The 26,172-nt window shown below is 37.0% G+C and overlaps 2 protein-coding genes and 1 long non-coding RNA gene across 11 annotated transcripts in view, besides 3 other annotated features; 2 read left to right on the top strand and 1 right to left on the bottom strand.

Annotated features, from left to right (window-relative positions):
* Window positions 1-26,172, top strand: part of NPHP3-ACAD11 (NPHP3-ACAD11 readthrough (NMD candidate)) — a 164,322-nt gene that overhangs the window by 41,858 nt on the left and 96,292 nt on the right. The window lies entirely within an intron of this gene.
* UBA5 (ubiquitin like modifier activating enzyme 5) lies at window positions 808-26,172 on the bottom strand. 6 transcript variants are annotated; one of them, NM_198329.4, is made up of 12 exons: window positions 25,932-26,172; window positions 14,734-14,779; window positions 14,529-14,618; window positions 11,675-11,784; window positions 10,318-10,404; window positions 9,553-9,637; window positions 8,721-8,825; window positions 8,425-8,552; window positions 5,219-5,354; window positions 4,922-4,997; window positions 4,679-4,785; window positions 808-4,159 (listed from the first exon to the last, which is right to left on the bottom strand). In NM_198329.4, exons 2-12 carry the CDS (start codon window positions 14,770-14,772, stop codon window positions 4,076-4,078), a joined length of 1,047 nt encoding a protein of 348 aa, NP_938143.1. In that variant the 5' UTR covers window positions 14,773-14,779; window positions 25,932-26,172; the 3' UTR covers window positions 808-4,075. The 6 variants fall into 6 exon arrangements, 5 of the variants coding, with proteins under 5 accessions (NP_938143.1, NP_001307139.1, NP_079094.1 ...); NM_001320210.2 differs by lacking the exon at window positions 25,932-26,172 and adding an exon at window positions 19,554-20,273; NM_024818.6 differs by lacking the exon at window positions 25,932-26,172 and adding an exon at window positions 19,904-20,273.
* Window positions 19,678-19,957: an enhancer, noted in NCBI's record as "active region_20539". NCBI's record gives its function as "activates an Ori minimal core promoter by ATAC-STARR-seq in GM12878 lymphoblastoid cells {active_cell/tissue: GM12878}" and the evidence as "EXISTENCE:reporter gene assay evidence [ECO:0000049][PMID:35858748]".
* Window positions 19,953-20,491: an enhancer, noted in NCBI's record as "H3K27ac hESC enhancer chr3:132378955-132379493 (GRCh37/hg19 assembly coordinates)". NCBI's record gives its function as "activates a minimal SCP1, AML or CMV promoter by ChIP-STARR-seq in primed H9 embryonic stem cells {active_cell/tissue: H9 hESC(primed)}" and the evidence as "EXISTENCE:reporter gene assay evidence [ECO:0000049][PMID:30033119]".
* Window positions 20,328-20,417: an enhancer, noted in NCBI's record as "active region_20538". NCBI's record gives its function as "activates an Ori minimal core promoter by ATAC-STARR-seq in GM12878 lymphoblastoid cells {active_cell/tissue: GM12878}" and the evidence as "EXISTENCE:reporter gene assay evidence [ECO:0000049][PMID:35858748]".
* ACAD11 (acyl-CoA dehydrogenase family member 11) overlaps window positions 20,793-26,172 on the top strand; it is a 101,669-nt gene continuing 96,289 nt past the window's right edge. For all 4 annotated transcript variants that reach the window (NR_132428.2, NR_132427.2, NR_132426.2 and 1 more), the window contains exon 1: window positions 20,793-20,999. Coding sequence is in view for 1 of the 4 variants with exons in the window: in NM_032169.5 (NP_115545.3) it covers window positions 20,851-20,999 (149 nt within the window). In the remaining 3 variants the exon portion in view is untranslated. The remainder of the gene's footprint in view (window positions 21,000-26,172) is intronic.

Genomic DNA, 26,172 nt, shown 5'->3' with positions numbered 1-26,172 from the left:
CCCACTCTAGTTTATACAAGAGGGCTGTTTTGCATGATTTTTAAAGAAATACGTTGAACTTTTTTTAGAACTTGAAATGGACCGGGCGCGGTGTCTCATGCCTGTAATCCTAGCACTTTGAGAGGCCAAGGCGGGAGGATCATAAGGTCAGGAGATCAAGACCATCCTGGCTAACACGGTGAAACCCCATCTCTATTGAAAAATACAAAAAACTAGCTGGGCGTGGTGGCACACACCTGTAGTCCCAGCTACTTGGGAAGCTGAGGCAGGAGAATCACTCGAACCCGGGAGGCGGAGGTTGCAGTGAGCCGAGATCACACCACTGCACTCCAGCCCGAGTGAGACTCCATCTCAAAACAAAACAAAACAAAAAACAAAACCTTGAAATGTTGTCAATACTTGCTGCTCAGTAGTTTGCTCAGCTTAAGGTTTTGGTTAATGTTCTCTTAAGGCCGAGTTACTATTCACAGGGTAGTCCACAAATCATTGTCACCACCACCTGGCAGCTTATTAAAAATTCAGACTCTCAGGCCTCTCCCCAAACCTACTGAATGAATCTGTATTTTAGCTAGATCCCAAGGTGACTAATGTGCACATAAGTATGAGAAGCAGTGGTATAACTCTACGGCACTATAGTGGTAATTTAAAAAGAAATGAGGCAGTATATAATGAGCATCCTTCTTCCTCCTTTGGGAGTAGTTCAAGAGGGAAAAATAGAAGATAAACTATAACCATAACATACCTTTCTGGGTTTGGCAGCTGTGAAAGACACAAAGTAATTGAAAACACAAATATACCAGACAATGATTTTAGAATTAAGCTGTTAGAGCTTAGAATTTGATTATTTAGTGGTACAAGTCATTTAATACATAGCAAGTAATGTGTTCGGTTTATCACCTTAGAAAAACTGCTTTAGAAAATAATGAGACCAGTACTCTAGAAGAACCCTGATAAAAGGAAAAACTACCTTAAGAATATTATTTATTCTTTGTACCTCCAAAATTTGTGCCTGAATAACTGTAGTTGGAGACATGATCACTCAAAATTATGTATTCCAAAAGAATGAAATTTAAACATAATAAACTATTTTGATATTACTATTTATTTTACTACCAACCCAAACGTTCTCATGTAGAATGCATACTTAAGAAGATAAAAATAGCTGGAACATCTTTGTGTATGCATATTTGAAGTTCTCAAATAGGAATATTTTCTTCACATTAATATGCACTTTCACAATGAAAAAGGTAGCTTTCAGACAACTCAATTATAAATCTGAATTGTTAGAGTACTTATTCTAGTTATAATTTTTATTCATCAATACCTTTTTTTTTGAGACAGAGTCTCACTCTGTTTTCCAGACTGGAGTGCAGTGGCACTATCTCAGCTCACTGCAACCTCTGCCTCCCAGGTTCAAGCGATTCTCCTGCCTCAGCCTCCTAAGTAGCTGGGATTACAGTCACGCACCACCACGCCCGGCTAATTTTTGTATTTTTAGTAGAGACGGGGTTTTGCCATGTTGGTCAGGCTGGTCTCGAACTCCTGACCTCTTGACCTACCCACCTCAGCCTCCCAAAGTGCTGAGATTACAGAAAGGGAAATATGAAAAAAATGTGATGCAGGGGTCAAAGCTTCCTTTAGTAAATATTCTTGGCTGGGCGTGGTGGCTCACACCTATAATCCCAGCACTTTGGGAGGCCAAGATGGGTGGATCACCTGAGGTCAGGAGTTCAAGACCAGCCTGGCCAACATGGTGAAACCTCGCCTCTACTAAAAATACAAAAATTAGCCATGCGTGGTGGCGGGCACCTGTAATCCCAGCTACTTGGGAGGCTGAGGCAGGAGAATCGCTTGAACCTGGGAGGCGGAGGATGTGGTGAGCTGAGATCGTGCCACTGCACTCCAGCCTGGGCAACAGAGTGAGACTCTGTCTCAAAAAAATAAATAAATAAATAAATATTCTTAAGTGGCCATTACGTTTTTTGTGTTGTTCAGTGTACGTATCCAGGGAGTATTTTTATGAGAAGAAACTAGTAATACTTATTTTCTCTACAACATTTAAGTAGAACCATAACTAACTTCCCATTAACAATAAGACAGGAATTAAAGTTGAATATGTTGTTTTACTATCATTTAGAGTCTCTGTGCTAAGCCAATTCTGGGACTGCTTTTCCATCTTTCACATTAGAATCAATAGTGTTTACAAATCTGGACAAATGCTATGAGTTTAGTAATACTAAATTCAATGATGATTAATTTTTCGTAATCAGCTGCCTTCTTATGCAAGTTTTCATGGCATACAGACTGTCAAGAGAGTATTCTAGGATAGCAACATCTCTATTACCAGATTTTTTTTCTGGTTAAATAATCCAATTGTTTTTAATGAAAGATATTAGACAAAAAAAGTTAGGTCAATTAGGTAACATTTGGTGCAGTGTAAGACACAGGCAGTGATGCAATGCCAACTTGAGAGCAGATAAAAGAAGACAGTGAATTCTAGATGTGATACTTTATCAAATTGTAAAATTTTATAAAACCTTACTAAATTGATATGCAAGAATTTCCAAAGGAAATTTATTTTTGAAAAACTGCATTTCATTTTTTAAATTCAAAACATCTCTCATACTAGAAAAGCTATTTTACAGTTCAATAAGCTAAATTTTTAAAAAATGATAGAAGACTCACCAAGGCAACATAAATAAGTTTCCAGGCTAAAAAAACTATCCTTCTGCTTTCCAGACTTTACTATAAACATAAGAATCACAGTATAATCCTAGCATCTCAAAACTAATATATTGAAAACATTTGGTAGTTGAGACTTTCTGAAATCAGTTTTTTGAACTTTATTTTACAATCAGGGATGTACTTTTAATTTTTTACAACATTTTCTCCCTAGAGATATAATTTAGATATTCCTATCTTCAAAGTAAAAATCAAAATAGGAAATAAGCATAGAAACAGCCTATTGGCAGTGGTTACACCTGCATGGTATTTATGAGTCTCCAAACTATTGGAAATTTATTTCAACCAAGGTTCTCTTAAGTCTTCATTACTTGGGTGTAACTCGAGAGAAAACTAATTTATATCAATTTACAGTTTAGTGGTCATGATCAGGGGAAAGTGATACTCTTCCACTGACTACAAGTCATTGCAGAGGCAGTTTAGAACTTTTCCTTTATTCCTAATATACAGGACAAACCTTGCCGACATCTCACTACCTCGAAAATCAAATTTAAATGAAGTATCCAGGAGTAGCCTAAAGAATGAGTGTAATCTGGATGGATTTTAGTCTAAATTTATGCCTTGCTCTTCAGTAAAGTATAGTAACTCCAGATATATGTTCCACAGATGCAATAATTTCTGTTCCTTGTTCGGTGCAGAATATAATTTATACTTCCTGAAATCAACTTTGTCTATTCATGAAAATAGCTGCTTTTTATTTGCCTTTGTCTCACTTTGAATATATATGATCCACAGGTTACAGACTTTTCCAATAACTACATTTCAACTTGTACTTCATCAGCAAACATTTGAGAGGATGTTATTTCATAGGTTAACTATTTTGAATTCATTGTTGATCAAGTTAGTAGTAGTGGGCAATTTTCTTATAGAAAGCAATTCCAAACATAATGAGCAGATGCTTGCCAGCTCTAATCAATAAGCTGTATGCCTTGTCCTTCTCCCTGTATCTGAGGATCATATACTACTTTATTGTCCATGTCCTCATGCAACAGACACAAGGGATTACTGGAAAGAAAAAGATTACAGGATCAGATTTGTCCTTCCCCCACTCCAAAAGGCCAAAACATTTCAACAGCTATGTTTTCAAGTAAGATTTATATCCTACAATATCCTTTGAGGTTTTCTTACTAGAATGAAACACATTTTAGGAGAGTTAATGATTTCGTTGGAGCGGGGAGAAACAGGCAAGTCACAGGATTTTCAAAAAGTATAACAATTCAGGTAAGAATATACATTAATTAATGTTGCCCTAAGTTTTATCAGTTAAAATTTTTTTTTAATTTCAAGGGAAGAGGCTTTAACATGAGAAATACAATATATCCCAGTCCATTATCTACATATTCTTCATTTTGGCCATGAGGTCTTCCAAGCTTTCACCAGAATCTTCCACTGTTAACTCAGTGACAGAATCTTCTTGCTATTGACAAATAAGGGAAATACAGTGAAAAAAGAACCATATAGAATTCTTGATGCTTAGGAATATATAATCAGCAAGTTTTGACCATGCTCAACAAGGTTATAAAGTAAATTTTCTTTAACAACTATCTTCTAATTTTTAGAAGAAAGACAGAGTCTTTTACATTCCTCACCAGTCTTTTGATTTACAAGGCAGTAATTTCAATATTCTTGACAGCTCTAGCTTTTTAAACGACATCGTAGCTAAAACTACCGATAAACAAAAATGAGATCTTCATTTAATCAAAATCTACTATACTTGGTTCATTAATGAGTGAACAAAACCATTTTATTCTATGTTTTAAAAGTTTAAGCTATAAATATTTGCATATTAACACTGCATACCTCTCTCTCACATCTTAATGCCTATAGCATAAAATATCTAAAACAGGAAATACTTCATTGGCATTACAAATTAGAATGAAGATGATAAATATTTTATATGATATTTACATATGGGTAAATCATATTTTTGAAGTACCTTTTTTGGAATTGTGTATGCCACTGTAATTCCTTCAGGTAAGTCTGGAACTGGACCTGAAAAATTTTTCAGTTCCTCTTCTGAAACCTCAGATACCAGCTCAATACCTGTAAATTTGATCCTATGTCAGTTTTTAAGGAATTTAATAAGCAATAATTATTCAATTTGTATAATCTTATTAGATTTGCTACCATAAAAGGTTTTGTTTTATACTGCCATTTCAATTTATAAAAGAATACCTACCCCATTCATTATCTTCATGGATTATCTCTTCCTCTTCTTGTATAACCTCTTGTTTAGGCAGTGCTGCTACCTTTTTCTGTAGAAATCAAACAGCATCAAAGTGTTCTTACTCATTCTCAGTTCTCTAAAGCATTAATCAAGAATTCAGACAGGCTTTTTATCTTACCAAAAGCAAGAAAGAACATTCATTTTTGAAGTATGGTGAATAAATTAACCATTTATCTTGTATTCCAAATCTGTTTATGTATTGTCCTATTCAATATGATCCCTCATGCATTCTAACAGATTGTCATATACCTTATATTCCTCCTGCTGCTTCCTGCAATTTCTGTCATCACACTGAGGATTTGGCTTCATGGACATAGTAGGAAAAAAATCCTGCATTGCATTGTATCCAAGGTAAAAACTAACAGTACCAAAATTTAACAGAAACCTAGAAAAATCAAAATAGACTTAAATAAAGAAATTTAAAACATGAAAAATACTAGAACACCTAAATTTTTTAAAAATAACGTTGAAATAGGTAATTATATATTTTTTTTAACCAGAAAACAGAAATCTGCATCCAGAAAACAGAAATTTTATCTTATTTACAGTGCCTGGCTCATAGTAGATACTTCAGTGTTTATTGAATGAAGGAAAGAAAAGATTACTCCATTTCATCAACTGTAGAACACACTATTTTTTTGAACCTCTAATAAAGATAAAATGCTGGCAGCTAAACAATTACACGTCAACAACTTCAAGAAGCATGCTGATTTCAGAGAAGCTAAAATGTGGGAGAAGTGTATTTTTTAAATCCCTGAGATAATTAAGAAAGCTACTTAATTTTAACATTTTGTATGTAACTTACTATAAAATGCACAATCTTAAATGTATAGCTCAATAAAATTTTGTATGAGCCTTTCATGTAACCATCACCAGATCAAGATACAGAACATTTTCAGCATCCCATGTGCCTCCAGCTCCCTCCTGCCCTCTTCCCAGTCAAATCTGATACTTTTTACTCTGTTGCCCAGGCTGGAGTAAGGTGGCGTGATCATGGCTCACTGTAGCCTCGCCCTCCCAGGCTCAAGCAATCCCATCTCAGCCTCCCAAGTAGCTGCGACTACAGGCAAGCACCACCACGCTTGGCTAATTTTTGTATTTTTTTTTTGTAAAGATGGGGCTTTGCCATGTTGCCCAAGCTGGTCTCAAATTCCTGGGCTCAAGCAATCCGCCTGCCTTGGCCTCCCAAATTGTTGGGATTACAGGCGTGAGCCACTGCACCCGGCCAATCTGATGTCTTTTATTAGGTTGGCGCAAAAGTAATTGCAGTTTTTGTTAAAAGTAATGGCAAAATCCACAATTACCTTTGCACTAACATAATAAAAGCTTCTATACAGAGAAAATCACATAAAAAAGATAAATGACAAAAATATTTGCAAATACACATTCTTAATATACAAGACAAAAAAGAGCAACAACTATTAGCAGATAATTCACAGAAGAATGTAAGTGTTCAACCTTTTTCACAAATAAAAAGAAAAATTAAATGCCTGTTTTTTACCCACCAGAATGACAGATTACAGAGTTTGATGATACTCAAAGTTATCAAAGGTATGGGTGAACCAGGTACTCCTAAACTATGATACAAATGTATAATCCTTTTGCAGGAGAAATTTAGTAAATATTTCGTAAATTCAGAAATTCTACTTTAAAAAATGTGTACTATAGGCCGTGTGCAGTGGCTCATGCCTGTAACTCCTAGCACTTTAGAAGGTCGATATGGGCAGACTGCTCGAGCCCAGGAGTTCAAGACCAGCCTGGAAAACAAGGAGACTTTGTTTCTACAAAAAATACAAAAACATTAGCTGGGCGTGGTGGTGGGTGCTTGTAGTCACAGCTACCTGGGAGGCTGAGGTAGGAGGATCACTTGAACCTGGAAGACTGCAGTTAGCCGAGATTGTGCCTTTGTGCCTCTGCACTCCAGCCTGGGTGACAGAGTGAAACCCTGTTTAAAAAAAAAAAAAAAAGTACTATAGAAAACTCTAGGCTGGGCACAGTGGCTCACGCCTGTAATCCCAACACTTTGGGAGGCTGAGGTGGGCAGATTACTTGAGCTCAGGAGTTCAAGAACAGCCTGAGCAACATGGTGAAACCTTGTCTCTACAAAAAATACAAAAATTAGCCAGGCATTGTGGCATACACTCGTACTTCCAACTACTTGGAAGGCTGAGGTGGGAGGATCACTTGAGCTCAGGAGGTTGAGGCTGCAGTGAGCCATGACTGAGCCACTGAACTTCAGCTTGGGCAACACAGTGAGACCTTGTCTCCAAAAAAACAAAAAGAAGAGTGATCAATCTAGTATTCAAAGATATATACAAGATGTAGCCTATAGCATTGTTAATAAAAAAGAAAAGAATTAAGTAGCCTAAATGACCATCAATAGAGGGGCTAGCTAAATAGGACACATCCTTAAGGGAATACTTTGTTAGCCATGATTCTTTTCTCCTTTTTTGTATCATACTATAAAATGTTTTGTTTAGACAGGGCCTACTACTGTCTAAACAGGCTATTTGCTCTTATATGAAATAGCCCTAGACCATTACTTTGAGAGTTTATATGTATGCTTTTTTCAATTTCTTTGCTCGCAACTGACACTTCTTATTGATTGGTACCTCCTTGTGTCTTGTTGCAGTTTGTTCTTATTATATTGGAGGCTTAGGGAATACAACTAAGCTTATTAAAGTTGTAAAATGAGGGAAAATAAATAGCCTGAATTAGAGAACACCTAAAGGGGCTCTGCTTTTAATAAAGTATGAGTTGATTCATAAACTGTGACATAAATTTCAGCAGCAAAGAAATCTTTTTCCTTCTTTTTAGCTACAGTTTAGATAGTACAGTTGCTGGATATTTGTTTTTGGATAGCAGAGGTATCTAAAAGCAGATTTCAAGAATCTTTTTTAAGTACTGTTAATGTGTTTTATATTAACACTAATATAAATGTTAACATTTTATGTAAATGTAAAATTTACAGTAACACTAATGTTTAATTACATTAACAATAATTACTGTTTAGTCACATTGGTTTATTTTTGGTAAGACTTAAATCAAGATAGTAGAAACAAGTGTGTTTAAGTCTCCATCCACTGGACAGACTTGCAAAGATTTAAATCATTCAGTTAATGTTTCATAAATAAATATGCCACTACCATTGTATCATTTAATAAAAGCTATTCCAAATGCAGGGAGTAACTGACATTCACATATATTCACGTATGAATATGCACACATGTATTATATGTAATATTTAATATAGCAATATATATGAAAAGTAGACATACATATATAAAATAGAATTTGCACATATACATATATAAAACATTTAAAACTACATTTAAGTTTAAAGTAACTAAATTATATACTTAGCTTGTAATTTCAGTTTCTGAAATGCTTTGTGAAATATATTTATGTTTACTGAAAGCATACAAGACTATTCAGAAAAATTAGCCCTGACTTACTTTAACACGTTTTGTACTAAGATCCCAGCAACCACACCCATAGTGGTAGGAAGACTGGCTGCACAAACACCTTCTCGTTTCAGAGTCTTTTCATCAATATTTGCAGCAACTACAAGTGGTGGAGCACACTACATGAAAAATAAAACACATTTCAAAAAAAAAGAGAAAAAGTATGAGATGTTCCAAATAGTATTCCATCCAAGTTTGCTTTTTCTTTGAATTGTAATACATTTTCAATGCCCCTAAGAACTCAAGTATCTAACAGTGAAGAATATTCCAAAAAGAATAATGCATACCGCAAAACAAGCAGATTCTCCAGGAATTATAAGCTGTATATGCCCTGAAACTGCATTTTCACTGACCCCAGATTCCATCCATGTTTGTCCAAGTTCATTACAAGCCTTAGTAGAAATGGGTGAAAACATAAGGAAAAAAAATAAAAGAGCAAGAAGTAATTTACAATAAATTCTTTTAACTGAATGGATTACCAAGGTCTTTTAAAATTAATTTTCAGAACAAATGAGGCAAGTTGTAAGATAATGGAATTCCTTGGTAATTACCATACTCTATTTAAAGAGTAGAGTGACAGTATTCAAGACGCAGTCAGTAAATATTATTAAATTGAATCAAAGTTTATTGGATTTCTTGTCAAATTAATGTGAAATTTCACTTTTCTAAAATCATTGCAGGAACAAAAAAAATGCCAAAATATCATCTGAAAAGTTAAAAACAATATTCAAAAGGAAAATAATTTTTTTTTGAGAAACCAGGTTTTCAGGCAATTTATACATATTTATACATTTATAAAATAACAAAAGCTAAAACTAATGCTGACCAAGATTATAAGATACTAATTTAAGAATTATACATCAGAGGTATTTGCTGTTTTATAGTTTACCAGCAAAAAGAGTAGGATACTGTAACACATGTCACAGCAGCAAGGCTAGACAGTCTAGGTCCCACAGCTATTAGAATAGATTTTAAGAGTAGGCTAAGAGAACATTACAAATAAAACACAGAAAAGGGTTTACATTCAGAACTGTTTTTAGGATGGGGATTATATACTGATAGAATATACAGGAAAACAGATAAATCCATGAATATATCTTGCACAGCAGGAATACTCACTGTATTTATTGTCATTCGAGCTTCAAAATTGTCCACACAGCTAAGAACTAGATCAACAGGTTTTCCTTCTTCTAACCCACCATTACTAGTCAAAGAAAATAAGTTTGAAAAACATCAGGACACAAAATACACTCTAATACATTATACTTACTTGTTCAGTCCAACACTTATTCTTTCATTAAATGTTTGACTATAATTATTACATAATAAATATGTAATATTAAAGATATCATATATATCAAGTATTGAGTAACTTATGAATATAACATCAATGATACTACAGTATCATTGTAGTATTACTTATTTTACAAGAACTACAAGGGTGAAGGAAGTATAAAGTATGTTCACAACAGTTATTTTTTCACTACCAGCTTTCACATTTTTATTCATGCTTCATTACAAATGTAATAAAAGCTAATTGAATGCAACTCATTATTTCAGTGGTGGTCTGACAGTCTCTGAAGAAAACCATTTTCAGACAGAAATATAATCTAGAACACAGAACTTAAAGTTGACATTCTCTTCTTATATTGTAACTTACAGGGGTTTTTTGCTTGTTTGCTTTTTATTTTTAATTGTTTTTGGACAATATATACCTTTAAATGATATTCTAATACATAAAAATTACACAAAAATTGCTGTACTAAAAAAATGGAAAAATATATATCAATCTTCCATTCATTGGATTAATCCATAGATTTTTCTAATAATTTTCTAATACTTGAGCTGGACATTATACAAAATATTCATAAATTAAAATTTTACCTTATTCTATCCATGAAATGTTGAAAGTTTTCCACTGTGGTTATATTATAGTTGTGTACTTCAAAAAGAACATCAGGATTAATGTTCCTAAGAAGGAAAAAGGGAATGATTATAAGCCTGTAATCCTAGCATTTCAAGAGGCTGTGGTGGGAGGATTACTTGAGTCCAGGAGTTCAAGGCTACAGCGAGCTATCATCGCACCCACTGCACCCCAACCTGGGGGACAGAGTGAGACCCTGTCTCTAAAAAAATGTTTTTAAAAAGACTACTACTAGTAGCTGTAGTAAGAAAAAACTGTGAGGAAAAGAGATGAAAGAGCTAAAGGGCATTTAACATACCTTAGAGAAGCGAATTCAAGCTATTCAAAGAAAACCCAAAGTCCTTTTCTGTCTCTTTTATCTCACACTTCAAGGACTAGGTTCATTTTTGTCATAAAGATTACAAAACTGTTCCCACCCCAATCAATCTAAGTGTTGGGAATTAAGACTTAACCATGTCCAGTAACTACCTACAACTCAGCCTCACTTCCTTACTCAGTTAACAAATTTGGGGCCACAAAGGAAATTCCTAAAGCAGGGATTGGTGAACTGTGGCCCATGGGCCAAATCTGGCCCACCACCTGTTTTTGTGCAGCCTTCAGACTAAGAATTTTTTTTCATTTTTAAGTGGTTGGGAAAAGAAATCAAAAGAACATTTATGACTATAAAAATTTTATCAGCCAGGAACAGTGACTCATGCCTGCAATGCTAGCACTTTGGGAGGGCTAGGTGGGCAGATGGCTTGAGTCCCAAGAGTTTGAGACCAGCCTGGGCAATGTGGCAAAACCCCATCTCTGCTAAAAATGCAAAACATTAGCCAGGCATGGTGGCACGTGCCTGTAGTCCTAGCTACTCAGGAGGCTGAGATGCGAAGATAGCTTGAGCCCGGGAGGCGGAGGTGCAGTGAGCCGAGATTGTGTCACTACACTCCAATCTGGGTGACAGAGTGAGACTGTCTCAAAAAAATTTTATTTTTTAATTAAAAAAATTAAAAATTGTATGAAATTCAAATTTCAGAGTCCAAAAATAGAATTTTCTTGGAGCACAGACATGCTCATTCATGTTTGTTTTGCCTACAGCTGCTATCAAACTGCAACTAACAGTTCCAACAGAATATCTGGCCCTCAAAGACTAAAATATTTATTATCTAACCTATACATAAAAAGTTTGCCAACCCATGTCCAACAGGTAAGAGAATTCTTTGTACAAGTGAAAACTGCATTTTATAGAGAAAAATTAAGATTCATTTATATTAACTCATATCAAATACATAAAGTAAGATTTCACTGAATATGGTACTTGATTGCTATTCCATTTACCTCAGAGTATGTTCTGCTGCTTGAACTTTACTTAATCCTGCTTGATGAGGTTGGAAGAAAAGTCTATTCATATTGGCTAGTTCCACCTTGTCATAATCAAAGAGTAGCAACTAAAATGAAAATAGTGGTATTCTGATGAAAAACATACCAAAAAACTAAACATATCAAAAAATAAATTAGAGAGCTTTACATTTAATTAGTTTAGCAGTTTGATAATAATATTAGCTAACTCTACAACACTAGGTGCCATATATTAATTCATTGAATGCTCATGTGAGGCATGTAGGTACTATTATCCTTATTTTTAAAATGAGGCAACTACAACACTTGTCCAAAGGCCACTCATCTAATATGAAGTGAAAATGGGATTCAAATTCAAGCATTCTCAATCCAGCATCTGCACCTCAACCACAATGCTGTGCTGCCTCTCTAAATAATTTACTCAGAAATTAAGATTAATTCCCTTTCATTCCATTTTTTAAATCTGTGGCAAAATCCTACTTCATTTCCATTTTTTTGCTAAAAGCCAGGAATCCATTGGATAAATGAAATCTTTAAATAAGATGAAAACAAGTGCTGTAACTTAAAATATAGTATAACCTGACTCCTTTTGTGTATATGACAAAATATATACCAGTGACATGGCTAAAACATTATTCCAAATAGAATTACAAACCAGTTAATTGTTGTTTCCTGCTATACACTTAAGCCTGTTTCAAAAAGCATTTGTCACACACACACACACACACACACACACACACACACACACTAAAATGGCCATTAGATCACATTTCTTATCAGTAAGAACAGGCTAGAGCCAAGGACTTCCTGTCCCTTCTTCATATGAAATTCTGTGACTCTTTAATACAATTCTCAGCACACTAAACAATAAAAACAAAAATGGGATTTTCTTTTCAATAAAAAACTAAAAAGAAAAAAAATTAACCTAACCCATAACACCTAGATAGCCCTTAATACTAGAAAAGATCTCACACTCTCCAAAATTTTCTAATCCTACGTAAGAGTCTCCAAAACATAGTTTCTTTAAGCTCATCAATATTTATTAGGTCAGGCCAAGTATTAAATGAGTTTCTGCCTCATAGCTTGTTTATACATAAGTTGCGGGAAACATTAAACTTGGGAACAGAAGGTCTGAGCTGTAACTCTGCCACTAATTAGCTCTGATTGTGGGTAAATCACTTTCACTTTTTAGGCCTGTATCTTCATCTCTAAAATAAAGCAGCGAATATAGATCTGGTGATCCAAGGCACCCCAGATACTTTAAAGAGATCCAAAGGCTTTCAGGGATAAGAAATGGACTCTGGGTTTCCTAACATCTTCTACTTTCCTATTTAACCTCATTAATTCACTTCGTATTTATCTGTTTTACAAATTAAAGAAAGACTTCCTGAAACTTACCTGTGTAGATTCTCAGTTTACAAACTTGAGGGCACACTGGAATCACTTGGAGAATTTTTAAAAATACAGATGTTTGTGCCTCATCCCCAGAGACACTTATTATGGGGTGCAGTCTGGACACCAGAATTTTTTAAAACTTCCCAGGTGATTCTAACTACAGCAATATATAACTACTGTTCTACCTCTTTGCTACTCAAAATGGCGTGGTCTAGCTGCATTAGCATCACCTGAAGCTTGTTAGAGATGCAAGAGCACTTCTCCAACTTTAATATGCAAATGAATCATTTGGGGATTGTGTTAAAATACACATTCTGATTCAGTATGTCTGAGGTAGGTATTGAGAGCTGATACTGATGTTACTACTTCAGGGACTAGACTTGGAGTAGAGCAAGGATCCAGTGGTTCTTACTGGTGTAATCCTAGCAACATCAGCATCAGGATCACCTGGGAGCTTGTTAGCAATGTCAATTATGAAGTCCACCTGACACCTATAAAAATCAAAACCACCAGAGTAGGATCTGTTAATCTGTGCTTTAATAAGGCTTCCAACTAATTGTGATAACATACTCAAACTTGAGAGCCACTAATCTCAATAATCTCTATTATCCCTGGTCAAGCAGTCAGGGTGCTTAAGTCAGCTATAAGCAATTTTTGTCCAGGTTTTGTAAATCTTTTGAAAGGTATTAAAATTTCAATAAATATTTTTAGTATTTTGGTGGTGTTATTTCTATATTGATAAGTGAGTGCCAATTTTGAAATCACCTTCTTTTAAGAATTTGGGGTAGACCAACATATTAGAAAGCATTGGTAAACTGTGGGAGAATGCTTCCTTTACCAGAACAACAAATTAAAGGATATATAATTGTGGAAAGCTTATTCATTCAACCATTATGTATCTAACATCATAGACTCTGGCTTTATAAATCTAAGATTGGTAGACTGAATTCTGGTACAAGAAAGTTACTTCTTTCTAACCCATAATCTAAATGAATTTTAGAAAAAAGTAAAAGAGTACCAATTTTTAAAAATCCATCCAGAGCATTCTCTAGTTCAAAATCAAGAGTAGGAAAGGTACATGTTTTCTATTCTGCCTGGTATATGTTTAATAAAATATTTGTTAGATGTTTCAGTGTTTCACACACTTTATCAAATTAACAGCCTTGTTTCCTAAGTTTCTATATCTAAAACACCTAAGTCCAAATTGTTTGCATATTACTTCAAACAAAAACGTTTCTAAACACAATTAGACAATCTTTGTCTAATATCACCTTTTGTTTGGGTGGGGATATGTCTCAACCCGAGTAGAAAGAACAATCTAGATTAATACACTGCAAGTCAATAAGCCACTGGTAAAGAAAAAAAATCCTAACTTGTACCTGATTTACTCCAGGAGTGAGTAGTTCCCTATATGACAGGCAAAGAGAAATGTTTTTACCTTACCAATGCCACATCTTGTCAGCATTTCAGCAGTCACACTACCTACTCCACCAACACCTACTATTGCTACGGCAAAGGTACGGATTTTCTGTGAAATATAAAATAGTATATGTTGGTTAATAGCTCTTCATCAAATATGTCACCAGAAGTTATTTTAATTTACTGAATTAATCTTACAAAAACTTGGAAAGGGTTTATCATACCTCATAGTCGCTTACAATTCCCATTCGTTTCAATGCCATCAAGCGGCTTAAAACAAAGAAAAATATGTTTTAAAGCTTACAGTCTTTTAGGTATTAGTAATACAAATAGACATACATCATCACAGAAAATAAACACCAAAATATAATCATTACTAATCGTTTCAAAGAGGAGGATGCTTACAGGCTGGTTTTTACCAGATGAAACTAAATTACCCAGGCACCGTTTAAAAAAACTCTCCCAAGTGTAGCATATGAAACAAGATTGGTTTTTAAAAGCTATGTATTCTGATTTGCAGCCAAGATTGCGACTACTACTTAAATGTTAAGGGTCAAAGTTAAATTTCAACATTTTTCTATGCTTTGGTAGAATATGTAAATATTTAATGTTTTAACACTCAGATCTCCATCATCAGAGTAAATTCATGGCTGGAATTCCATTCTCTTGTTGCCTCTGCCCACAATAGATGATGTATACTTTTAGTAAGCACCTACTGTATGCCAAAGACTCTAAGAGGTGCTTTAACTAGTTACTGGTAATCTGCAGTTTAAGTCTATGGTTAATTCCCATTCATCTTCACTTTAAGGAGTCAAATAGTTCCACCAGGCTTGTTAGGAAATTCAGCCTCCACCCCCATTTTCCTCTCCCTCACTTTTAAGTCCATTACCATCATATTCCTAAACAACATGCTAACATTGTTATTTCTTTTCAGTTTTAGTCAATTACGTGAATCAGATTTTGCTCTTAGCATTCATCCCCACTGCACGCAGACATCTTCCATCCCACCAACTTCCCAATATTGTTAGATAGTCATCTTGGTTAGATGTTAACTCTTCACAACTGGGCCATGCAATATATTAAAACTTACCCTTTCCTCTAACTCCCAACCCTGAAGTTAATAAGTATGTTTCTCCTGATGCTTAATTTCCTATGTATTTTCACAAATTCAACCGCCAACTTTCCACTAGTTATCTAAAGTTCCTCTAGATACATTCATATTCATGAGGTATTCTATCAATTTCATCTTCTTAAAGATGTATCTCCTAGAATCTGACATGATTGTCTCTAGACTTACTGCACATACAGCTCCCTTCCTAGGCTCTTCCTTCATCATTATACTACAAAGTCTCTTAATTTCTTTATTCTGTATTAATCCACTGTTTCCTGTATGCTATAGCTCACTAGTTCTAAAGTGTCTATGGATCAACAACAGGACCACCTGAGAATTTAATAGAAATGCAATTTCTTAGGCCCTACCCTATAATCACCCACTGAATCAGAAATCTTGAATGTGGAGTCCAACAATTTGCTTTAACAAGCCCTCCAGTAATTCTGATGCACATGACAGTTTAAAACACTGTCATCAATTATTTTTAAACTTACTCTCTTGCTGTGGTTAGAAGAACATCTTCCAGTAGTTTTGCAAAGGGTACGGCAAAGGTAAATTTTGAGAACTTTCATTTCTGAAAATGTTCCTTATCAAAATTATATTCTTTATAAAAATGACAAAGCAAAGGGCATATAATTGTGGGAAGCTACACATATACTCTTAATCGATAGTTTAACTTGGTAAAGAAGTCTAAAGTTAGAATTGTCTTTCAACATTTTAAGGTATTGCTCCAGTGTCTCCTAGCTTGTAAAATTTCACAGTGTGCCTTAATGTGAATCTGTTCTCATCCCTTGTGCTGAGTTTTTAGTGGACTCTTTCAAAATGAAAACTCACATTTTCAGTTCTGGGAAATGTCCTTGAAGAATCTGGTTACTTCCTTGTTTGGTTTGTTTTTCCTGGACTATCTGGAACTCCTATTATTTGGAAGTTGAACCATCTGGATTTGTCCTTTATCTTCTTTCTCCAGTTATCTACTATTTTAGTTTTCTGCTCTATTCTCTGGATGATTTCTTTCAACTTTATTTTCCAACACTTCTATTAAGATTTTCATTTCTATTACCATCTCCATTTGCAAGAATTCCTGATCATCTAAATACTTTGCACCTTGTTCCTGTATCATTTGTACCATATCTTCTCTCATCTAAGGATACTAATGATAATTTAGGGGGATGTGTTTATCTTACATAGTCTATCCAAGTTGCTATTTTTATTTCTTTCATGTTAGAAGTTTCTTTCATCCTTTGTTCTGTTCATATTTAAGTGTGGGACACTAATAAAGGTAACAATATAGGCAATAACTGTTTGACTTTGGACTTCACTGTAGGGTCATCTGGCCAGACTATTTAGTTGAGAAACCCACAATGTCAGTGTCTTTCAGTCTTTCCTCTTGGCTCTATCAGATTCCCTAGAGAATAATCTTTCAAACTCCAACCTGAGTTGGAGTTCCAACCCCACGATCAGCTGTTGGAAGTGAAGAAGCAAGGCTGGGAGTCTCGACACTCAGTATGTAAGCATTTAGTTTACATTCAGTCACAGCATTCAGCATGTAAACAATCAGTTTACCCCTTCCTTCAGGTACAAAGACCTGCCCCAATTATTCTTGGAAATCTTCTATTTTACTCTTTCTAATGAAGAAATCTCTACTCTCCTCTTCTGGTAGGGAAGGAGTGTTTGCCCAGTTACCCACAGTGGAGTAGGGGATCTGGGGCTTTTGTTTCTTCAACAGATTTTCAACTGAAAGTTTTTTTTAGCCCTACCTGAAGTTCTGCAAGTACCTGTGCCTATTCCTGAGCCTTTTGGGGGATTCTTGCAATAAACTGGGTTGCGAGCTTAAGATTAAACTTCTCTGAATCTATTAAATCAGTTACCTTCACCCATCCCTTCTCTAGTTTCCAAATTGTTACTATAATCAAGTACAGGGACCCACCCCTCCCTATCAGTTATTAATACGAACCCTTTATATTTTCAATGGGAGTTTCTTTTAAAAAATTCCTTTACTGTCACTTTAGTGAGGTTGGGTAGAAAGTGATGGCAGATCCATCACAGGAATTTGCTATCCTTACCTTGATGCTCCCTTCAATCTTTAAATAATCTGAGAAGCATGGATGGCAACCCCCTTTTACAGATGAGGGAAACGGTTTGGGTTAATCAACTGCCCAAAATCAGCTAACTGGCAAGTGGTATTCTGAGCTGGGTTTCTGAGCCAGGATTTGATACCAGGTTTTCTAATCTCAAAGCCTCTCCAATTTTTCCACATGCTTATAACTATATTCCATAACACATAATTTTACGGTTACTTGTGTTTTTTAATATCCCACCTCCATGTAGTCTCTCAAACTGAAGCAAAAGTCAGGTGCTTTATATTTCTTTTGTATCTCTTGAAGCAATTAAAATGGTGTTGAACACATACATATCCCTTTCCTATAACCTTTTGTACTTTATCATAATTCAATAACCTGTACTTTATCAATAATAACACTGTACTTTATCATAATTCTTATCACCTGTACTGCAATGGCATGTTTACTTTTCTATTTATCTCACACTCATCTGGTAAGCTCTAGAGGGAAAAGACCATGTCTACTTTATATTCACAGTGTCTGCACACAATAAGTACTCAATACAAAGTAAATAATATTGTCAAGGAGGACTGGAGACAAAAATGTACTCAGTAAATATTTGCTGTATGAACAATTCAAAAAATTAAAGCTGAACTTTATTAAAATTCCATATATCAGTGAACAGCTTTGGGTATCAAACTGCCATCTCCTGTATAGCAATTTTAATAAAGTCAATGGTGCAAATCAGATAGAAAATACTACATATTTAGACTTGAGTTCTGAAAGTTTTGTTATAATTACAATGTCAAGGGATCATCTCATATTAAATAATGTCTGAAAGACAACTTAAATTCATGACCCATATTCCTCTGCTTTTCATTCTGGAGGGAAAATTTCAAAGTCTTCATTTGTAAAATTTTAAAATGTTTTAAAAATGTCAAATAGTTTCCACTTATTCTGATTAGAGATGTCAGTTCATGCTTATTTAATCTCTAAAAATTCTGGACCATTAACCGTTCATATTTGGCAACACAGTTAAAACAGTGCACCCTAAGACTTCTACTGCGGCTTTATATATCACAAACTAAAACCTTTTTTAAAAATCAAAACTGTTATGCTCTTTAAAGGAAAAAAGCAACAATAAAATCTTCCTTATCTACTTTAACACTATACAATTTTTAGCTACACGACTTAATTGTTTTTACTGGGGAGACGGTTCATGAGAATTTTACATTAAGACAAATCTAATGCAAGACAGGCCTTATTATTTACTACCAAGGCATGAACCTGAGGTGGCTCTCTAAGCCTCAATTTTCTCACTTATATAATGGGGGTAAAATAGTAGCAATCTCATAGGGTTTTGGTGGGAGGAGACAATGCATGTAAAGTGCTTACACAGTGAAAGCTCAATAACTGCTTGCTACTAAATGCACCTAGCAATAAAATCTTGTATAAGGCTTGCCATGTACAAGCGCTACTCTAAGACCTTTATACATACTGATTTTTTCAATCCCCACAACTATGACAGAGATAGATATTACTATTATCTTCATTGTACAGGTGAGAAGCTGAAGCGGAAAGTTTCACAACTTGCCAAAGGTTAGGCAGTTACGAAGAGAGTAGTTAGATTTGAATTGCAATCAGTCTGGCGGTAGAGTCCTTACCCTTAACCATTGCACTATATTCCATCTGCTGAATTGATAAGCTTTGTTAGGAAAGAAGAAAAGAGAGGCCTGGGCAGTCTTGGTAATGTCGAATGGTTTGAGATGTTAAGGAGCACCCGAATATCTCAGAATAGAGCTAACCCCGCTCTCCCCCGCCCCGACCCCATTTAAGATGCATTGATAAGCCTTTAATGAAACTCAAAGTTTACCTTAGCAGGTTTAATATTTGATCTCATCTTCTGAAAGTTCTTACTATCAGTCTTATACACAGCGAGGCGGACTAATTAAGAGGCAAGGGTGATAGGAAACTGGACACACGTCCTCAGCAGGCACAGGAGCAGCACCATATGGCTGACTCACTGGAGGTTTTTAAAAAAGAGAAAGAATATCTTCCGATCAGTACTAAGATGTGGCCTTGCCCATTTGGGAACAGGATTCGCAGACCAAGAAAAGGGTGGCGGGCGTCCCCATGAGCGGGACGTGGGAAGCGCCTCACTTCTGACCTCACGGAGCCTGACCTCGTCCCCCGCGCCTGCCTCCGACCGGCGACGCAGGTTACCTGTAGGGATTCGAATCCACCACCTCTGAGCTCATCTTCTCGATGCGGACCCGGCCGCCCCCTCCGTCGCCGCTCCTCGGGACCTGCAGACTCCTCTCCTGGGCAAGTTCCCGCTCCAGCTCCTGGACCCGCTGCTGCAGGCGCTCCACAGACTCCGCCATGGCTGGGACTCCGGCCGCCAACGCTCCCAGCCCGGGCCTTCGCCGCCGCCTTCGCCCCACGTTGCTCGGCTGGGCCCGCGAGGGGTACGTGGGGAGGCACCTCGCCGCTGCCTTCCTAGCCCAGAGCCCTGGGGACGTGCACCCAGCGCCTCACAGACAGACACGTCTCCGAGACTCCCACAGGCCTTCCTCGGAGCCGCTTCCGGTGCGTCGCAGACATCGCTCCCCCTCATCAAAAACCTGGCTCTTTCGGCTTCCTTCCTCGCTGGGCCGGCTAAACCCGGCCGCAGCAGCACCGGGGTGATAAGTGTCCAGGGCAGGAGGCCAGCGATGTTGCCTTGCTAACCGGGTATCTAAGAGAAACAGGGTCTTTTTATTCTTAGGCTCGACAGTCTGACGGCCCTTTTTCTGAACGGGACCCTGCAGGTCTTCCGCCTGCTGTTGCATTAAATTTGGGGGTGGAAGAGGCTTCTGCGTTGTTCCTTACCCGCAACGATGACCATGGCTTTGCCTTCTTTAAAATTGAGGCCTCCAACTCTGACGCTGACTGGAGAATTGAAACCCGAACACACATTGGGCTCTTTTGGCACTTGACTAGAGCTAAAACCTCGGGATTCAGCGGGCAAGCGTTGCTCAGCAACGGCGCGTAGGCTGTGTGCGGTTGGCTGGAGCCAGACCCCACCCCGGCCTCGGCCCATGCTCTAGAGGGGACGTTGCCCCAATCCTGAAGGACTTCGGCACTCGAGACCTGTGGATGCCGCGTTGCTGTGGCCTGCGGGGGTGATCATGAAGCCAGGTGCTACTGGCGAGTCCGATTTGGCCGAAGTGCTGCCCCAGCACAAGTTCGACAGCAAGTCCCTGGAGGCCTACCTAAACCAGCACTTGTCTGGCTTTGGGGCCGAACGTGAGGCTACGCTGACCATTGCCCAGTACAGGTATGGATGTCAGCCTTTGCCTCCAGCGGAAAAAAATTTGTACATTGAGTTTTCCTTCCTTTGGCCCTGGGTGGTTTCCTAAGTTTCTCCCACCCTGATTGCTTTTCCTGCAGTCAGTGGACGCACCCTACAGGCATGAGCTGCTATTGCCGGCCCTCCGAATTCGATGCTGGGGGCTTCCCAATTGGAGGGCGGTAATGGAAGCGCAATAACGTTCACCATTCTACTATCCAAAGGAATCTTTGTTAAAGGATGGATTTATGTCCCTTGAGGATTCACCAAGGCAATTAAGGCTACAAATTCTGAGAAATAGATGCCTTCTTTTGTGATACAGCCATTAGATCTTTTTCTGAGAAGCTGGTGTAATTCCGTTTGATTGGCCGTATTCCGGGAGGCTGAGTTAATGACACCAGATGGAGGATCCGAATTCGAGTACTAGCTTTTCCACTTAGGAGGTCACAGCACCACTTTGGGCCTCAGGTTTTTTGAAGTGAGGTAATGGAACTGAGTGAGAGGATCCTGAGAGTAGCGTTCCCCACCGGGAATCTGGCTTTAGTCTGATGTTTTACAATAGATAATACATTCTTAAAACTTTATTCTAAAAATAACATTGTTACTAATACAGGGCTACAGAAAGAGTCCTATCATTCAGAAAACTGGATCTGTCACTTGCTGTCTGGGAGTTTAAATATGTTACATAAACACTCTGAGAACTAGTTTCCTAAGTTGTAATACCTATTTTGATTAGTCTTATTAATGAAATGAAATACCGTAATATAGGTGAAAGGGCGTAAAAATTGCAACAACATAGTGTGCTAGTGGTATTTTATCACTAGCATTTATATTCTTTGACTACTGATTTTGGTGAAAATGAAAATAATAATAAATGAGATGGATCAGGGAACATTTTAGGGTGTAGAATTTAAAGGTCCCATGTCCCAATAGATATTGGAAGATGAAGGGAAAGGTGGAATAAAGAATAGCTGAGATTTCTAGGCTAGAAGCCTTGTGTTGTAACAAACTGAAACAGATCAAAGTTCAAATTTCAACTATTTCAATTGCTGTGGAATTTGGACAAGTTACCCTTTGAACATCTAGTCCTGCTTTGGCAAAAAGGAGATAGTAACGTTCATATTGTAGGAGTGTTGAAGAGGTACATAACTGAAAGATACTTAATTCTGAACCAAGCTGAATGTTAAACCATAACCGTGTTCAAAAAATGAAATTAGTTGTAAATTAGTTGTGGTATAAAAATTGCTTCCAGAAATGTTGTATAAGCTTGGTTTAATAAATATATATGGAACTCTGGATCCCACAGAGAACACACATTCATTTCTAGGACACATGAAAAAGTTTATAAAAATTGAAAACACATAGGCCATGAAGGAAGTCTCAGAAACTCAAAAGAATCAATCTTTATATTTTGAAAATGTGTGTTTTGGCCAGGTGCAGTGACTCACACTTGTAATCCCAGCACTTTGGGAGGCCGAGGCACGTGGATCACTTGAGGTCAGGAGTTCAAGACCAGCCTGGCCAACATGGTGAAACCCCCATCTCTACTAAAGATACAAAAATTAGCCGGGCGTGGTGGCACGTGCCTGTAGTCCCAGCTACTTGGGATGCTGAGGCAGGAGAATCGCTTGAACCAGGAGAGGGAGGTTGCAGTGAGCCAAGATTGCACCACCATGCTCCAGCCTAGGTGACAGAGTGAGACTCAAAAAAAAAAAAAAAAAAAAGGAATATGTGTTTTTTTAATACCAAAAGTTTAACAGAAGATAGCTAACAAATACATGTTTATAAATTAAGTGATTCATGGATTAAAGAGCCAATAATCTACATAGACAGTAAAAGACTATCAAAGTTCAGTGTACAGAAATCAACTGCATTTCTCTACTTTAGCAACAGTTAAAATGTAATTTTCAAAAACTTACAGGAGCATCAAAAATATAAATTACCTAAGTAAAAGATGTGCAATACCTTTGTAGAGAAATGATAAAACTTTTATTAGGACCTTAAAAAGAATTTTAAAAATTGAGAGATGCCATGTTGTTGAATAGGAATATTCAATATTGCAAACTTTTTTCTTCCAGTTGATCTATTGATTCAAAGCAATGACAATCAAAATCCTAATTTTTTTCTCTAATTTGAAAAAGTGCTCCTAAATTTTATGTGTAAGAGCGAAGGGCTAAGGATAGCAGAAACATTTTTAAAGAACCACAAGGTGGGAAATTTGAGTTAAGATGGTATGATATTAGCACAGAGATAGACAGACCAATAAAATAGAACAGAGAGTTCACAGAAAGACCCACATATTTATAGAAGTTTGATAAGTGACAATGTTGGCACTGAGAGTCAGTGGGGGGAAAAGAAGAACTTTTCAAGAAGTTATACTGGAATAATTGTTATCTGTATGAAGAAATAGAAATTAGACTCTTTATCTCACACAGTTCCAGGTAGATAAAAGAACTGAATGTTAAACTATAAATGTTTGGAAGATGTGTAAGTTATATTTTTGACTTTAGAGAAGAAAATATTTTAAAGACAACAGCAGAAACCACAAAGGAAATGACTGATAAATTTTCATTAAAAGACTTAAAGTGAAAAGACAGAAGAAAATATTTTCAGTGCATATAATGGTTAAAATATTCAGAATATAACTATAATAGCTCACCAGAAAAATGGGCGAAAACTTGATGATGCTCAACTTTATTATACTGTAGTAATAAGGGAAATGCAAATTAAAAAAAAAAAAACAACACAATGAGAAACCATTTCACACCACCAAATTGACTTTTAAAAAATCTGACAATAGACTGGGTGCAGTGGCTCATGCCTGTAATCCCAGCACTTTGGGAGGCTGAAGCAGGTGGATCACCAGAGGTCGAGTTCGAGACCAGCCTGGCCAACATGGTGAAACCCCGTCTCTACTAAAAATACGAAATTAGCTGGGTGTGGTGGTGGGTACCTGTAAATCCCAGCTACTCGGGAGGCTGAGGCAGGAGAATTGCTTGAACCTGGGAGGCAGAGGCTTTAGTGAGCTGAGATCACAGCACTGCACTCCAGTCTGGGTGAGTCAGAGGCAGACTCCGTCTCAAAAAAAAAAAAAATCTGACAATATCAAGCATCAGGATATGGGGCAACAGGGACTCATATAGGGGTGTGAATTAGTATAGCTGCTATTGAAAAATAACTCAACATGATCTTGTAAAAATGAAGTTGGGAAGATACACATGACCTATGACCTAGCAGTTCTACTCATAGATACATACTCCTGAGACTTTTCTTGTACTACAGTATAAGGGGACAATCTACAAAGATGTTCATTGTACTGTTTGTAATAGCAAAAATCCAGGAAACAACACAATGTCTATAGATACAGAATGGATGAATAAATTGCAGTATATTCACATAATGGAGTAGCATACAACAGTGAAAATGATTCAGCTACAGCTGTACATAACACAGAATGAAAAACGTGAAGAAATTAACAGTATATTATATACAGAGATAAACTTCAAGGGAATGATAAATATAAAATTCAGAATGGTAGTCACTCAAGGGGAAGGACATACAGGGTTTCAAAGACAGTAATTTTCTCCGGGTAGTGAAAATGGTGTTTGTGGCATTACTATTCCTCATGCCTTACCAATTTCATAAATACTCTTTTTATCTGCAAGATTTACTTTTAAAATTTGCAAAAATTAAATCTTATTGGAAAGATAAAATATTTAGAATTAATCAATAATGAAAGTATTATATAGCTTGATACAACAAAACTTGTGATTTGCAGCTGAGTGCCTAATATGTATCTGGCACTGTATCAACCACTGAGGATGTAACAATAATCTTGCCTCCCTGGAACTTCCATTGTATTTGTAGAAGACAGACAGGAAAATCAGCTTCTGAACTTTACAATGTAGAAGTTGATATGTAACATGGAGGAAAAGAGAATAGGAAATGTTTGGGTGTGGGGCAGGAAGATTTCCTCGAGCACACGGCATTCAGCAAAGACTTGAAGGGGGATGAAAATGTGAGCCATGTAAATATCCAGGAAAAGAGTGTTCCAGACAGAGGGGACTGCTAATGCAAAGGCCCTGGAAGGGATGTGTGCCCAGTGTGTTGAGGAAACACAGCCCAAATGCCTGAAGTAGTGTAAGCAAGGGCAACAGGGACCCTGTCAGGCAATAAAGAGACTTTGGCTTTTACTTTGAATTGAGATGGAGAGAGACTTAAAACATGCTTGAGCAGAGGAGGGAAGTAATCTTTAAACAAACAAACAAACAACAACAACAAAAAAAACAGAATCTCTGCTTCTTGTGTTGAGAGTTGACTGAAGGGGCCAAGGGCAGAAGCAAGGACACCAATGTATTACAGTGTTCCAGCAGGGAGATATCAGTGGCATAGACCAGAGTGGGAGTGTAGAATGGGTAAGAAGTGGTCATAGTGTAAGTATATAGTCACATGCTGCATAATGACGTTTTGGTCAATGACGGGCTGCATATACGGCAGTGGTCCCATTAGATTATAATACTGTGTTTTTACTGTACCTTTTCTATGTTTAAATGTGTTTAGATACACAAATGCTTATCATTTTGTTACAATTAATTGCCTGCAGTATTCAGTACAGTCACATGCTGCACAGGTTTATAGCCTAGGAGCAGCAGGCTGTACCACAGAGCTCAGGTGTGTCCTATCGGGTTCAAATCAGCCTATTTATGCTAACTCCAACCAGCTGAGAAGTTTCACAACGAATCAGTGCCAATTAAATGCTTAGGAATTCACGATTTATTGTGTGGCTTCTACACAACAATCATGTAACTCTATCCAACACACATAGGCATTAATAGAGAAGGGAAACACAGCAAGTATTCTGGGAGACCAGCACACTGACTGAGAAAACCAGGTTTGGTTTTCCTCAGAATGCCCACTGACCTGGTGGTGGGTAGCTGCTCTTTTCCCAGAGGGCTTACCACAGCCAAAGGAAAGGAGGCCTCAGAGTTCTCATGGGCAGAGATTCTGCAGGCATCTCAGCCATGATTGGCTTTTACGGCTCTCCACAGACATCTCCATGGCCATTATCTTCAGCTGACTTTTGGCTTTACTTTCTTGTCAGGTGTCAGGGATGCCTGGCCACAGCAGATGCTATCTTATCACCTCAGTCCACCACACATAT

The sequence above is a fragment of the Homo sapiens genome, chromosome 3 (genome assembly GCF_000001405.40).
Source record: "Homo sapiens chromosome 3, GRCh38.p14 Primary Assembly".
Classification (NCBI taxonomy): domain Eukaryota; kingdom Metazoa; phylum Chordata; class Mammalia; order Primates; family Hominidae; genus Homo; species Homo sapiens.
The sequence above is the reverse complement of the archived record's forward strand: the minus strand, read 5'-3'. Positions and strand labels throughout refer to the sequence as shown.

Excerpts from the sequence above, each read along its gene's own strand:
- UBA5 (NM_024818.6), bottom strand. The coding sequence starts at position 20,064 with ATGGCGGAGTCTGTGGAGCGCCTGCAGCAGCGGGTCCAGGAGCTGGAG. Across the intron at positions 14,619-14,733 it reads GAATTGTAAGCGACTATGAG|AAAATCCGTACCTTTGCCGT; the intron begins GTATGATAAACC and ends TATATTTCACAG. Across the intron at positions 11,785-14,528 it reads CAAGATGTGGCATTGGTAAG|TTGCTACTCTTTGATTATGA; the intron begins GTAAAAACATTT and ends TTTTCATTTTAG.